The 14509-nt window shown below is 44.9% G+C and overlaps 6 annotated features.

The window, feature by feature from the left end:
* Nucleotides 6416-8586: an enhancer, noted in NCBI's record as "VISTA enhancer hs541". NCBI's record gives its function as "enhancer in: forebrain[6/9]" and the evidence as "EXISTENCE:transgenic organism evidence [ECO:0001131][PMID:17130149]".
* Nucleotides 6416-9236: a biological region, named in NCBI's record as "VISTA enhancer hs541".
* Nucleotides 6863-7382: an enhancer, noted in NCBI's record as "NANOG-H3K27ac hESC enhancer chr2:45031773-45032292 (GRCh37/hg19 assembly coordinates)". NCBI's record gives its function as "activates a minimal SCP1, AML or CMV promoter by ChIP-STARR-seq in naive H9 embryonic stem cells {active_cell/tissue: H9 hESC(naive)}" and the evidence as "EXISTENCE:reporter gene assay evidence [ECO:0000049][PMID:30033119]".
* Nucleotides 8404-9236: an enhancer, noted in NCBI's record as "OCT4-NANOG hESC enhancer chr2:45029919-45030751 (GRCh37/hg19 assembly coordinates)". NCBI's record gives its function as "activates a minimal SCP1, AML or CMV promoter by ChIP-STARR-seq in naive and primed H9 embryonic stem cells {active_cell/tissue: H9 hESC(naive and primed)}" and the evidence as "EXISTENCE:reporter gene assay evidence [ECO:0000049][PMID:30033119]".
* Nucleotides 9500-10300: an enhancer, noted in NCBI's record as "H3K4me1 hESC enhancer chr2:45028855-45029655 (GRCh37/hg19 assembly coordinates)". NCBI's record gives its function as "activates a minimal SCP1, AML or CMV promoter by ChIP-STARR-seq in primed H9 embryonic stem cells {active_cell/tissue: H9 hESC(primed)}" and the evidence as "EXISTENCE:reporter gene assay evidence [ECO:0000049][PMID:30033119]".
* Nucleotides 10301-11101: an enhancer, noted in NCBI's record as "OCT4-NANOG-H3K4me1 hESC enhancer chr2:45028054-45028854 (GRCh37/hg19 assembly coordinates)". NCBI's record gives its function as "activates a minimal SCP1, AML or CMV promoter by ChIP-STARR-seq in naive and primed H9 embryonic stem cells {active_cell/tissue: H9 hESC(naive and primed)}" and the evidence as "EXISTENCE:reporter gene assay evidence [ECO:0000049][PMID:30033119]".

The raw sequence follows: 14509 nt of genomic DNA, 5'->3' as shown, positions 1-14509 counted from the left end.
ACATCTGTAATTCCAGCACTTGGGGATGCCAAGGTGGAAGGATTGCTTGAGCCCAGGAGTTTGAGACAAGCCCAGGCAACACAGTGAGGCCCCATCTCTACAAAATATTTAAAAATTAGCTGGGCATGATGGTGCGAGCCTGCAGTCTCAGCCACTCAGGAGGCTGAGGTGGGAGGATCACTTGAGCCTGGAAGGTCGAGGCTGCAGTGAGCCATTAGCACACCACTATACTCCAGCCTGTGCAATAGAGTGAGACCCTATCTCAGTTTTTTAAAAAAGAATATGCTAGACACAAAAGGGCAAATATTTTGATTCCACTTATATAAGATCCCTAGAATAGGCAAATTTATAGAGACAGAGAGCAGATTAGAGGGGACTAGGGGCTTGGGGGAGTGGACGTAAGTGTTCAGTGGGAACAAGGTTTCTGAAGGGTAGATTTTGTGTTATGTATTTTTACCGCAATTTCGGAAAAATGATTGTTATCCAGAGAAGGCTGGAAAGGTCAAGTAAGGCATCACGGAGGAGGTATGACTTGAGTAGGATTTGGCTGGGGGAGATGGAGGAAGAACTTTAAGCAGAACAGGCTAACGGCGGGAAGGGCAGGGCTCCAGGAGCCTCACAAGCACAGTAGCTCCGCAGGGGACGCAGGGGACGCAGGGGACGCAGGGGACGCAGGGGACGCAGGGGACGTGTGGGCCTGAGGCTGACCGGCTGCACCGCCACCTGCTGTGGAGCTGTCCTGCAGGCCAGGAAGAAAGTGCCCACGCTGCACAGAGTAGCATGGGACAAAGGCTTGAGTGGGAAGTGGGTGGCGGGTGTCCTATCACGGAGCCACCACCCCAAGAAGCAATGGGCTGGGAGGGGAACTGCAAATCACAGGAGGAAGTGAGTCCAGTGAAGTCAGAGGAGCAGCCCACCCGGGGGCGGGAGGGGGCGCTGCATTAACCAAGGTGTGGAGGGAGTGTGGCCATCTGGAGAGGGAGGGAAGGCGCAGTGTAGTGGAGACATCCTCCAAGTTCTGGAAGAGTCACACGGGAAGGGTACTTGTACAGAGTAACCCAGGCAGAACGGACTACATCCAATCTAAGATGGCGGCCACACCAAGCAGGGACCCTTGTAATTATTCCAAATCTCTTCCCACATCTCTTTCCGGATCTCTTCTTGTACCTCAAGGGAGACTGCTCCTGTACCCAGCCATCCCCTGGGCCAGAAAGTAGACATAATATCAGTTCCCTAAGGGCAAAATTTCGTCTGGGTGCGGTGGCTCACGCCTGTAATCCCAGCACTTTGGGAGGCCGAGGCGGGTGGATAACCTGAGGTCGGGAGTTCAAGACCAGCCTGACCAACATGGAGAAACCACGTCTCTACTAAAAATACAAAATTAGCTGGGCGTGGTGGTGCATGCCTGTAATCCCAGCTACTCGGGTGGCTGAGGCAGGAGAATCGCTTGAACCTGGAAGGCGAAGGTTGCGGTGAGGCAAGATCTTACCATTGCATTCCAGCCTGAGCAACAAGAGCGAAACTCCGTCTCAAAAAAAAAAAAAAAAAAAAGGGGGGCACAAAGTTTCAGTGCCCCTTGCTCCTCACTCACCCACCTTCCCACCAACACACACAGAGGAAATCTAGTTTTCCTCGGATTCAGGTCAATTTCAGCCAGTTATAAATTCTGCAGATAGACTTCTTCCCATTTTGTAACCCTCAAACCTCTCAACCTCATTCCCAGAAAAGGGGTTGGTATTGGGCATCTTACATCCTTTTGCAAATTCAAACTTTGGTGTTCCTTTTTCCAAAAATATTTGCATTTCAGTCAACTCTACCATTAAAAGATCTTGAACATAAGGGAGCAGAGGCTGTGGAGGATTTGAGAGCCAGGGTGGTCTTTCTGGCTCCCACGCAGCAGTCACTCCTCCTCCAACCTATACGAGACACTCTCCTGATGAAGGGGTCACCTCTCCCCACTCCTGGAAGATTGTCACCTCTTCCTTAAGTTAGTGTCAGGCATTGGCTAAACAGCAAGGTTTATGTTTAATAATAAAACATCTTAACAGCAAACAGAAAATTCTCTGTAAATAGAGATCATTTAAGATGACAGTGGATTAACATTTTAATTAAACATGGCAATTCCAATCATTTTTATCATTATAGAAATACCCAACATTTTGACACATTTCAGGCATAAATTGATGGTTCCAGTCTGATGGCAAATTGATGTAATTTTTCAGGTAGTATTTGTAAGCTTTCAGTGGCAGCAAGAGATGGTATTCAACAGAGGTATAGATTCTAACATTCCCATTCAAAATACTAATTCTGAAGCCTCCATGCCTCCATTCATAGTCATACACACTATGAGAAATTAATTTGATGTTTTATGGTTTGCAAAACTCACACCAAAAGGTGCTTTGCTTGTCCCGGTGGAATGTTCTACTTTGTTCTGTCATTGAAAGGCATGGCAAGCAGACCTGGTATGTGTATTTGTCTCAGCAATTACTGATTTATTGAGAATGGAGGATGTACTTAGCATCATACTAGTGCTGATCCTCACAGGGGACCATGCAAGGCAGCTATTACTGTCCCTCCAGATGAAGAAATTGAGGCTCAGAGCAGACAAGTAATTTGCCAAAAAGTACCCAACTAGAAAGTGGCAGAACTAGGACTGGAACTCCCAACCATTGAGCTCTTTTCACTACTGCGCTTATTCCCCCAAATGAAGCTACGCAAAGCCTTTCCTGAAAGGCGACTCAATTAATATTTGTCCATTTGTTATTTTCTTCCTATATTGGAGGCCAAAGAAGACCCTTCAACTAACTGATCACACAAAGTTGTATCAACTAGCCTTAATGAGACGAGGTCTTTGTCACGTTTCCTTTGTGCCAACTCCCTTACCTCAGGACCAGCACCACCACCATCATCAACATCATCATCATCATCATCAAAATTCAGATTCTACTTGAAGGACAGATACCTTCAAGGAAAAGATAAATGCTTTAACAGAGCATTTTTTTTAACATTAAACAATTTCAATCTTTAAAAACTAGTTGCGGCTAAAAATATTCTTGGGTTCATTACCTATATTACTACTCTTCTAGTGTGCTGAACCATTTGCCTTAGAGTCCCTTGAGAAACATGCATGGCTTTTCCAGCAAAGTTAAGTGACTTCTATCCTCTTGGAGCCTCCTGCTACCCTCTTTCAGCCATATAAGCTGGAGTTTGACAAAAAACTACACAGAAATTTTCACTTTGAAATAATAGACCTAGCCAAACAAAGTCAATGCCCATCAAAGCAAACATACTGAACCAAGTCCAACTTACGTATTATAAGTTTTGAAAACTCTGGAATGTGTCAGAGAAAATAAAATCACTCTGAGAAATATAGTACAGTAAATATTCTCAACTCTTTGTAGGTAGTTTAATTATATTGGCTATTGTTGCTGAGAAATGTTTAGCAATATTGTGATGTTTTAGAATGATAAGACTCTGTGGGGCCAAATAATGTTTATTAATAAATTCAATAAATATTTCCAGAATAAAGTTGTTGATGCCTTTAGCACAACCTCTCGTAGATTAAAAAAAATATGAGGATATGATAGTCCTTTTTCATTTTTATAAACCCCATATGGCTTAGCCTAGTGCCATTCTTGTAACAATTTGCTCAATAAATGTTTGTTGAATGAATATTAATATTTAATAACAACTCTACAAATACTTGTTGGTGATTCTGTAACTAAAATTATAACTAGAAAGTAAACTACAGATAAACATTGTGAATGTACTAAATAACACTGAATTGTACATTTTAAAATGTTTAATTTGATGTTATGTAAATTTCACCTCCATTTTTAAAAGAACTGCACAGACTAGGAAATAGCAACCTTTCATTAAATTCAACAAGGTATATTCTCATTTTTTCATATCCACTGTAAAGTACAAAAGAGCCCATAAACATTTTTATGTTTTTTATTTAAAAATTTTTAAAAACATAAAGTAGGAAGTTTTTTATTTAAAAACGAAAATCAGTATTTAATAGATAAAATTTAAAAGTTACAACGGAATTTCCAGAAACTGTGATGCAAATAATAGCCTGAAATATGTAAAGGACTCATGGCTTAGTGAGAGGTGTTTACAGGGCTTTGCAGACCCCTCCCTGGCTGCTCCAGTTTGCGCCCCCCACCATGTTCCCATCACACTGTAAAGGGAAGGAAGAGAAAGAAGTCTCCGGGTTTCTTCCCCATCCGAGAAATGTTCCAAGTGCCAGAACACAGACGTGCAGTCTCTCCACTCCCATCCTTTCACCAACTTTAATCACAGTTCCAGATTCAAGGTGGTATTTCTAAGGACGTCAAACTTGTAAATAATTTCCAAAACGAGACTTCCCTCCTTTTATGACAATGTGATGACAGGCTATTTTTTTTAATGCAGTAAAGAAAAAGCCTCTTAACAATCTCAATTCAGTAGTTCAGTAGGGTTGAAAATATAAATGTCGTTTCTTCCAGTTTAGAGAGCAATCTTTTCGTTTCTGATTATTGGCAAAACAGTTTTTCTTTTCCGTTAAAGGGCTGTTTATGGAGATAAATGTTTCCTTGCACACAAACATTCTGAGGACATTGTACAAGGTTTTCAAACTTCATTTTTAGTCGTTAAAGGCCAGTGATTACACACTTGTTCTCAAAAAGTTAATACATTCCGAGTAACCTGCAGCCTGGAATCTGGTGTGTATGAAATTTTCCTTTCTGCTTTCTGGTAAATCACAATGTGACAGCCGAGGACCCTGCCTCCCTCCTTAGGTCTTTAAAAGAAAATGCAAATCCTCATCTCTTCATTAACCCATCTTAGAAAATAACTCAGATGTTCCTAATTTCTCGTCTGATTTATCAGACTGGCCTCTGATAACTTTTGTAAGAAGTCTATTCAACATTCTCAAGGACAAAGGACGCTTTATAGAAATAAATAAAAAGAACTCCTGACATCAACACAAGAGGAGAAAAACATTGGTAAATGTTGCTTGCTTGCTTGAGAATTACTTCAAGTTCTACTCAAACCCACAGATACATAATACTGAGAATGCTTCATTCAAAAACTTCTCTGATATAATCTATGAAAATAACCAAAGGACTCTCCGCATCACTCTACAATATGGATGCTTGGTGAGCTAAAGGAAATCAACAATCTTTCCGTTCAGAGAAAATAACAGCAGCAACAAGTAGGGAGAGATCATAGAATCTGAATGAATCAAAATACGTTTATTCTTAACTCCTGAAACTCTTCTCACCATGTGATTGCATCTACATATATTTTTAAAAAACCTCTCTGAAATTAAGTCGTTTTTTTTTTTTTTTTTTACACATCAGCACTGACTAAACCCTAGGGTCTTCTCAGAATGTCTCCCCGTGATCAGATGGCTTTAAAAAGAATTCTATTTACCAAAATCATTATGCCACTGTTCATTTTCCTCCCTGGGGGACTGGAGGGAGGGCAGGAGGGGAAAGAGAGGACGGCAGGTGAGTTTTTGTGTAAGAGGTGACCCTATCACGCAAATAAACAAGTGAATTTCTTTCGGGATATCTATTATCAAAGACATCTCCAACCCTTAACTGTGTTTCTCAGTTCCTCACCAGAAATAGAAAAAATAAGTGCAGGAACCAGAGATGATGAACTAGTGACCCCAACAAAAGTAAATGCAGATCTTTCTCCTCCTGCCCAAGACACAGCAAAAATAAGGGTGCTTGTGAAGAAATAATTTTCTTGAACACTGCACCGGGCACATTCTCAGCCACTTGGGCACAGTCTGGGCACCTCTCTCTCCACCTTCTCCCTCCCTTCGGACAGATCGCAAGGACGGACCCCCATGCTCCCCAAAATTCCACCATCCATCCCATACTTTTGTTTGTTTTTCTAAAGTTCTCAGTATTTATAGGTCTCCAAGTTGGGAAGGGGGCAGGGTGGAGCTCTTCCCAACAAAGCCAAACTCCAGTTTTCAATAACAAAGCAGGGTGGATCTGTGCGTGTGGGACAGATAGGGCAGGGACAGGGAATGATGTTTGGTTTGTTTTTCTTAGAAGAATGAAATGGAAGGTAGGCAGCCCAGATTCCCGAAGTCAGATTCTGAGGAGGTCAGTAACACTGGGGAAGGAAGCGTTTGAGAAGCTCCCTGATGGAAAATCAGGGTATCTCCCTCCTATCAGAGGGAGAAAAGAGAGCGTGAGGTCTTCTTTAAGAAGGACATCCAAAGGGCGCTTCTGCACAAATGTTTCCTGTCAGCATCCAGAAAGATTTAAAGACATCCCTCAGGTGGGAGAGCACTGTCTCCTCTCCTTAGCTGGAGGGGCGTTGGTCCTCTCGGGTAGCAGGGTAACAGGACATTGGAGGGAGGAGAAAGGCCAGTCTTCCCCAAGGGCCCACAGGACTGTATCTTTGCTCGCTGGAGACTGTTTTGCCTTCACTTCCACCTGGTTCCCGGCAGGGAGTCCTGGCCCTCCTTTGGGGGGGGGGGCCGTTGACTAATGCAACAGTGAAAGCATAGGTCAGCCATCAGGCAAATAATAAACATATTTGCCTCGCACGTCTGTTAAGCCTGTTTAATGGGTCGTCCCTACATGTAAATGGGCTTCCTACCCCAGCCCCTATCACTCCACCTGTATCAACAACAATGCCTCCGCACAATTATCTTACCTTAATGAACTTAATCTTTAATTTCCCAGCTTGGCCCTGGTACTCAGCCTCCTAACAAAGGAAGTGGAACTGTTTGAGTCCCAGTGAGCCGCCTTCCTCCAACAGCTAGGGAAACTTTAGCCACGACAAGGATTTTTGCCCCTTGTGGAACTGTCAAAAGCAATAAATATTTTTCTTTTTATTCCATCATTAGACCCTCCTAAGAATGCCTCCCCATTGTCCACTGTAATTCCCAGAGCTCTCTGGGCAGGGGCGTTATTGTGGAAAATGAATCCTGAAGTGTTAACAATGCTGCCAAAGCAGCTACACTTTTTCTTCTCCCCCCCCCGAGGGCGTAACCGTTAGGAATGTGTCGCCTCACCATAGCCTGCTCGGCGAAAAGAGCACTTGTGTTTTTTAACACTGGTCTTTGAGAAGGATGCTCAAGTTAAAGCATTGTGGCCACTGTAAATAGATGCACTCAGCAGAATAGAGCTTCTTCATTCCTAATTAGGGAAGTAACTCTAGAAAGACAGAATGTCACTTGCTGGGCTGTGCATATTGTTGAGTTTGTGCTCGCCTCCACAATGTGAGGTAATTGGAGTTGTACCTTTTAGAAAGCTGCTAATTTCACATAGGAAGTGCTAACAAGACCTTTCTGGGCCATGTTTTCCTTCTTCCTTTTTAAGGAAGTTACAGACCTTCAGTAGTGGGAATGGCTGAGCCCTGGCCTGGCGGAGGAAACAGCAGTAATGAACCACTTCAGCCCACAGTTAGAAAAAGGAGGCCTCATTTTGGAGTCCTGAGAATACTAGGCACAACAAAAGGTTCTGTTTAAGCTTGTTATCCAGGACATTCTTACAGGCTACACAGCTCTCCCTGCAATGACCCTCTTCAAACAAGTGCATCAAGTTTGAGCAAATAGAAACACGCAACTTTCAAGGTTTGGAGTTATAGTTTTCTTTACAAAGCCATTTATATAATGTAAGCTGCAATTAGCATGGGACAGAGCGAGGAGATTTAGGCTGGAAAGTTCTTTTAACAAAAGATAGAAATTAGTGGAATAAGTAACAGTTAAATATCAGCTTCAGATAACTAGCTGAAAAGACCTTTTAAATCATTTACTAATAAAAAAATGATTTTGCCTCAGACCTTGTTCCAACCAAAGTGTGGTCTTTTAAATCACTGAACTGATTAATCTTTCTAATTTTAAATTATCCAGCAAGAATGGACCGGAGCAAAAAAAAAAAAAAAAAAAGTCCACATATCCCCAAATGAAAAGCACTACAGCTTTTAAGCCTGACAATTTCATCAGAATGTCCATAGGAATTACATAAAAAATTCAGACCATAATGAAATAAATTGCTACTTACATTATGAAAAGTCTGCAAAAGCTTTTTATAGACTTGAAATGCAGAAGTTATATAAACTGCACAGTAAAAAGAATTAGAAATTGACCTGTACAGATCAAGGGCTAAAATTAACAGTCTTCAGGGGAAAAAAATTCCCAGTTCACAATGGCTTTTAATGCCATTTTTTCCCCTACACTCATTTATCTAATAACCATGGCAAGGTTAGGATAAACAATGAACAGTATGTTTTCACATTTTCCACCTTTTGTGTCCTCCCTATGAATTTCTAAAACACTTAAGAGAATAGATACATAAACCTGTGACCTTCAAATGAGCTTTTTGATACTCTCAACATTTTGAATAAAAAGATCAGAAAATGGAGCCACTTTTACACAGTAATGAATTCCATTCTGTTGGGTAAACAAAGCTAAATTTTAAAACAGAGACCTGACATTTGTACAGCTCAAGAAGCTATTCTGTTCTTTTGGGGGTGGGCAGACGGAGGGAGGGGACATTGTCAGTACTTTATGTGGGCTAGATAATGACCAAATCTACAATCCACGTCAGGAAGAGACAATCCATTTGGCTGCGTTCAACAGAGAGCCACCGTTTCCAAGACAAGGACAACAAAAATGCCCAATTTTTACAACAGTTTGCCCCCACCCCATGAACAACTGGTCCATCTCACAAAAAAAAAAAAAAAAAAAAAAAAAAAAAAAAAAGCGTTGGGGGGGAATTGGTGGCGGAGGCGCAGCCGCCATTATGGGGCTGACGCTTATTGACGGCAGCTACAAGGGCCTCCAAAAGTTACTCCAATTTCCGTCGAGCTTTTGTGCATCCGTTGTCCTGTCTGAAAGGCTCAGTTAGGTATTGTTGCAAAAAAAGTCTGCATCCACATTTGTTCCCCTCTAATTCATACTCGGCATTGTGAAGTTTTCCTATTCAGGGGCTGATTGGACAACAGCCCTGACAATGGCCCAGCGATTAGTCTCTCAGCATGGGCTGAGGTTGCGGGTATAAACCTAGGGATGGGGCTGGAATGCACTGGGGCATTCAGCTTCCTCTCGGGGCCTTCCTGAGAGGCCGCGCCTCCTTTGCTGCAGGTAATGCATTCCTTCAGAGCGGGGAAACCGAATCCCTGTAATTAGCGGGTCCCGGACGGGGCAGCCGCCCCCTCCCCGCAAGGCGGCCCTCGGGGGCCCCCGAAGCTTTCTAAGGAGCTCAGCCCCTGAGACGCTGCAGCCCCATCGAATTGAAAACTTTCTCGGGCGGCTCGGTGGGCCTGAAAATCAACACGCAGGGGAGGGGAGCCGGGAGGGCCGCGAGCCGCGCCGCTTAACCCTTGGTACGCCGCGGCGCCGCAGCAGGGCCTCCCCCGGCCCGCGAGTCTGCGGAGGGACCGCGCGGGCCCCGCCACCGCGGCTGAGCGAGTAGCTAAGTGTACAGATGTCAGTCTGGCGTTTTACATGTCAGTAACTTGAATTCATTTACATTTATTTTCCTATTGTTTTATATCACTTTATGACAATGTGCTGCATAATATAATTTAAATCTTTAATGTACAACTAATTCTCTACCATTAATTTGTCAACATGATTACTGGATACGCCACCCGGAAAAGCAGGCTGACTTAAAGTCTATGTAAGACGTTCCTGTGTTGTTTCCTGAAGGTTTACAGAGGAAATGACAAAGACGTACCGAGCTGTTTTTCTTGGACTGTCTGTAATCTTAGGAAAACTACAATTTCAGTGGGAATCCCACTTACACTGTGAAATTCCAGACATCAGTTGGGAAGGAGACGCACGCACAGCCCCCTTAGAGGAGAAATTAGTTAGGCAGCGCCTGTCCTCGCAGCAGTGGCCGGAGACCGGCGGTGGCCCAGCCGTTGGGCCCCGAGGGATCTATCCCCCAGGACTGGGCCCGGGCGGCGCGGGCCCTCGCAGGGAGAAGAGGAGGAGAGTCGGCGCCGGGTCGCACCGACGGCTTTGGGGAAACTCACAAAGGAAAGGGCGGTGGCTGTGGGCAAAGCGTTTCTGGGCCGTCCCGACTTCGGGGTCCCCCTGAACTGCCCCCAGACCTTGGCCTCGCTCTCGCGCCGGCGGCCAGAGCCCGGCTTGGAAACGCTGGTCCTTCCCTCTGCGCCCCTGGAGGACGGGCCCCCTGCAGCCCCAGCCAAGGGATCACGCCCAAGCGGCCGCACCGTCACAATTAAAAGGAAGCTGCTGCACCCCAAACCTTATTAAACATTCAAATAGGAAAATTAAGATATTCTGGGCAAAAGAAGTGTTTAGACAAAGGCTGTCTGCTTCAATTTCCCCGTTAAGCGGGGAGCTGGCTGCTCGGAGAGAGTGTGACGGTGGATTCCATAAATTAACTGAAAATCCCTCTTCTCCGGAGCCTAAGTTATCTCTCCTTTGCCTGCAGCTCTGATTTAGAATGGGAGCCGGCTTGTTTACCGGTTTAATTAATGCTCCTTTTCAAGCAGGGAGGAGGGGAAGGGAAATGAAGCGACTTGGTGATAAACAGGTGTAACCGGGCCTAGAGCGGGCTCACGAGGGCCGCGGCCGCCTCCTCAGGCTTGACTGGGCCTGACCCGGCGGAAAAGGTAGATGGCCCAGTTGGAAGCGCAGTAGGTGAGCATTATTTTAACTGCGAGACTGTGATTGAAATGGCTTAAAGGGACAATCAGCGCTTGTTTTTTTTTTTTTTTTTTTTTTCCCTTCTTCCTCCAGAATGCATTCTCATTCTTTCACGTTGCTGAGCGGAGAAGAAACAGATCTTGGCGATATAGGGCACAGGCCTTTTTCCTTCTCTGTCACCTCTTCTTCCTCAGCCTTCACCTCCAAATGTAAGGGAAGAGTCACTTGAGGAGGCAACCTGGCTTCCGCGTCACGCTGGGGACCGGCTTTCTGCTCTGAAAAAATCCCTGGGCGTTCTCTCTTTATTTACTTATTTCAGCTTTTAATTCCGGGAGCCTAATATCTGGGATTGGACTGTCCGCGGCCTATGTGTTTCTGTGACCTTACAGATAACAGGGAAGCTTGGATGGAAAATGAAATTCAAGCGCCAGCTAATTTTAAAAACATAACGAAAAACTCATTCCCGAGGGGGGAAATGGCAGTTTCTGTAAGCACAGGCTGAAGGTGTTTTTAAATTAATAACTAGCCCTGGTATTTGCTAAATGATGGCTGTATCAGGGGGAAAAAATTAGTCATTAAAAACAGCAGGTACCCAACGTGAGAATATATGTTTCAGGACTGAAAGTCACCTGTCTGCGTTGCCTGCTGCCTTTCTGGGCGCCAGCATCTCCAAGGGCAGAAGTGAGGCCAGAGGCTGGTCTGTCAGCCATACTGGCCTTCTGGAGAAAGGAGTTTTGTTGTTGTTTTGTTTTGTTTTTAAACTACCATTTATTGAACGCCTCCTTGATGCCTACGACGTGTCATTGCTAATGCTTTCAGCTTCCCGACAAAGTGGTTGTGCCCGTCCACATTTCTCAGAGAGTTTAGACAGCTCTCATGATTTGCCCAAGGCCACAAAGCTTATCAAGGGCCAGCGCAGGGATGAGAACAGGGGTGTTTCTGAGCCCAGGGCCTTTTCCCCTCTTTTTTCCACCCTTTGTGAGGTAACAGTGACCCTAGGTACCTACAATCTCTAGAAAAGGGGATTCCATTCTAGATAAAGACTGGTTAAGTCCGTGGTTACAAGAGAGGAGCTCTTTTTGCCAGGGGTGAATTCTACCCACATTCTGGTTCAGGTCTGCGGGGACCCAACACACATATAAGCACAAAGTACCTTGCAGAACAGAGAGAGATTTCTTTCTGGAGAGATTTCTAGACTGGAAATTAGGATCTTTCAGCATCAAGGCTGGTTCAGTTGCCCATTAATGTGTGACCTCAAGCAAGTCACCTACTACATCTGACTGAAGGCTTCCTTGTCCCTGAGTGGCCACATTGCCTATCCTGCCTGCCTCATAGTGTGGGGTGGGGCCAAAGTGAATGGAAGTGGGTTCAAATGCATCAGTCACTGTGAAGAGCTGCACAAATGTACAGTTTTATTGCTGACTTACCAGAATTATGAGGTCCTAATGTAAAATTATATGTGCATGTGTTTTGAAGGGAGTGACTTACTGTATAAGTGTGAGGATTTTTCTTATTAAAGACGAGGCTTTAACTCCTGATTTCTAAACATGAAAACTCTGGCTACATTAAGAATGGTGCTAAAAGTTTGAATGCAGGCCGGGTGTGGTGGCTCATGCTTGTAATCCCAGCACTTTGGGAGGTCGAGACAGACGGATCACTGAGGTCAGGAGTTCGAGACCAGCCTGGCCAACACAGTGAAACCCCATCTCTATTAAAAATACAAAAATTAGCTGGGCATGGTGGCAGGCATCTGTAATCCCAGCTACTTGGGAGGCTGAGGCAGGAGAATCGCTTGAACCCAGGAGGAGGAGGTTGCAGTGAGCTGAGATCACACCACTGCACTCCAGCCTGGGTGACACAGCAGGACTCTTGTCTCAAAAAAAAAAAAATTTGAATGCATCCTAAAATAATAGAATTTTGATGGAAGAGACCATTCGTTATAATAATAATAATGATATTAATGGTGGCTATATGCCAGGCACTGCTCTACCAGATATGCACCAATTAGTTCTCACCATAATGCTATGCCATAGGTACTGTTATCATCATACCCATTTCACAGATGAGGAAACTGAGACACAAGGCAATTTGGTCACATAATTCATGAATAGAACTACCATTTGAACCCAGACAACCTAGCACTAGAATCCACATGCTTAATCATTGTGTTACACTGCATCCCACGAGAGAGTGTCTGTTAGCCCTGCTTCTCCAATGCACATTTTGAAGATGAAAAAAGTGACGCTCAGAGTGATTAAATGATTTGCCCACATCTGTTTCATGGCAGAGGTGAGAGTAGAGTTTGGATCTCCTTATGTCCATGGGTGGTTCTATTTATGATGTAATTGCTACTCACTTTATTCAGCCTTCAAGCCTTCTCTGGAGATGAACCGCCTGGGTTTAAACCTTGGTTCTGCAAGCTCCTTACCCTCTCTAAGCCTAAGATAATAGTATCTTCAGATGTCTTAGAGGAAATTTAATTTAAAAACCTCATTGTTTGGCAGATTACACGAAATAATGTACAAAAGTATTTAGCACATTTCCTAGCATATAGTAAATGCCCAATAAATCCACCTCAAATTTAAAATCCTGGCTCCAGGAAAAGAAACATGAACAGTGGGAAGGTCTTGAATTGGATGTGACTGTCCCTACTCAGTGAGCTGGCTCAAGCTAAGTTGAAGGAAGAGACAAAGGACAGGCCAACAAGCTGGTACATGGCGGGAAGAGGGCCAGAGCCCACCACTTGTGGAGAACTCGGAGGCCAGCCCCCTCAGCTATGAGAGGGTCTTCCAGAGTGATCCCTGAGGAGATGGGACAGTGAAGTCATTGGCCAGCCTGTGGGACAGAAGGTAGGTACTGACTGAGGAAGACAGAGGGAAGGGAAGGGGAACAGTATGCGGGGCTGGAGGAAAGCAGGCTAGGGAAGCCAGAGTAGGAACAATGGCTGTCTAAGCACCACCCATCATGGGGTCTCTTCATGAGATGCTCCCTGGAGACATCAGCCATGGCTGTTTCAGCCCCATGGGGAGGAGGAGGATGGTGGCACAGTGCTGAGTGCTGAGGAGGAACCACAAAATGCCTGGCTGACGGAGGCTGTCCAAGGAAGAGAGACAGCTGGAGTCTCTCTTTTACGGGGTGTTTACGGGGTGGAGGAGGGGCAACCTAGCTGACGTAAGAAACCCTCCAGCAACCCAGGGAAGTGGGAGCTGGGGCCATTGCAGTGGCAAGGTGGCTGCCTGTCAGGTGCCTAGGGGCCAGGTCCTAGAATGTTTGTTGCCCTTGGGCAATTGGGTATTGCCACATGGAAGACAGCGGCAGACCAAGGGGGTGCTCAAGTTCTGCTTTGGGGGCCTCCAGTGAAGGTCATGGGGAAGATGTTCTTGTCCCAAGCATAGGTTCCCTGCCCTGCTGAGTCTTTCCCGGGAGGGAAGGACAGGAATTGCAGGAGTCAGAATCAATGGGGCCTGCCCTGTGATTTGGTATCTAGGAATGAGCTAAGGCTCTTGGGTATGGGCAGGGGCTAGGGCTGTGGTTTTTTCCTCTCTAGGGAGTTTCTAGTTAAAGGGTCTTCAGATTTGGGGCAAAATATCCCATCTGATTTTGGAAAAATATCTGAAGAACTGGAAGTAGGAAAAATGTCTGGTATCTCTATCTCTGCCACCCTGGAAAGTATGACAAACAGCAGATGCTCAACAGCTATATGTTGAATAAAGAAACAAAGTGGTGCCAGGAGTACTTATTATTGAGCACTCAGAAAGGTAAAATATTCTGTAAGCCATGAAGGTATTTCCTGCCACCTTTAGGTGTCCTGAGAGAGGAGGGAGAACCTCTCTCCAAGTCAGCCCTTCGTGTGCCTTTGTCTTTCTGTTTCCT

Source organism: Homo sapiens, chromosome 2, assembly GCF_000001405.40.
Source record: "Homo sapiens chromosome 2, GRCh38.p14 Primary Assembly".
Taxonomy (NCBI): Eukaryota; Metazoa; Chordata; class Mammalia; order Primates; family Hominidae; genus Homo; species Homo sapiens.
This window is presented reverse-complemented; position numbering and strand designations above follow the sequence as displayed.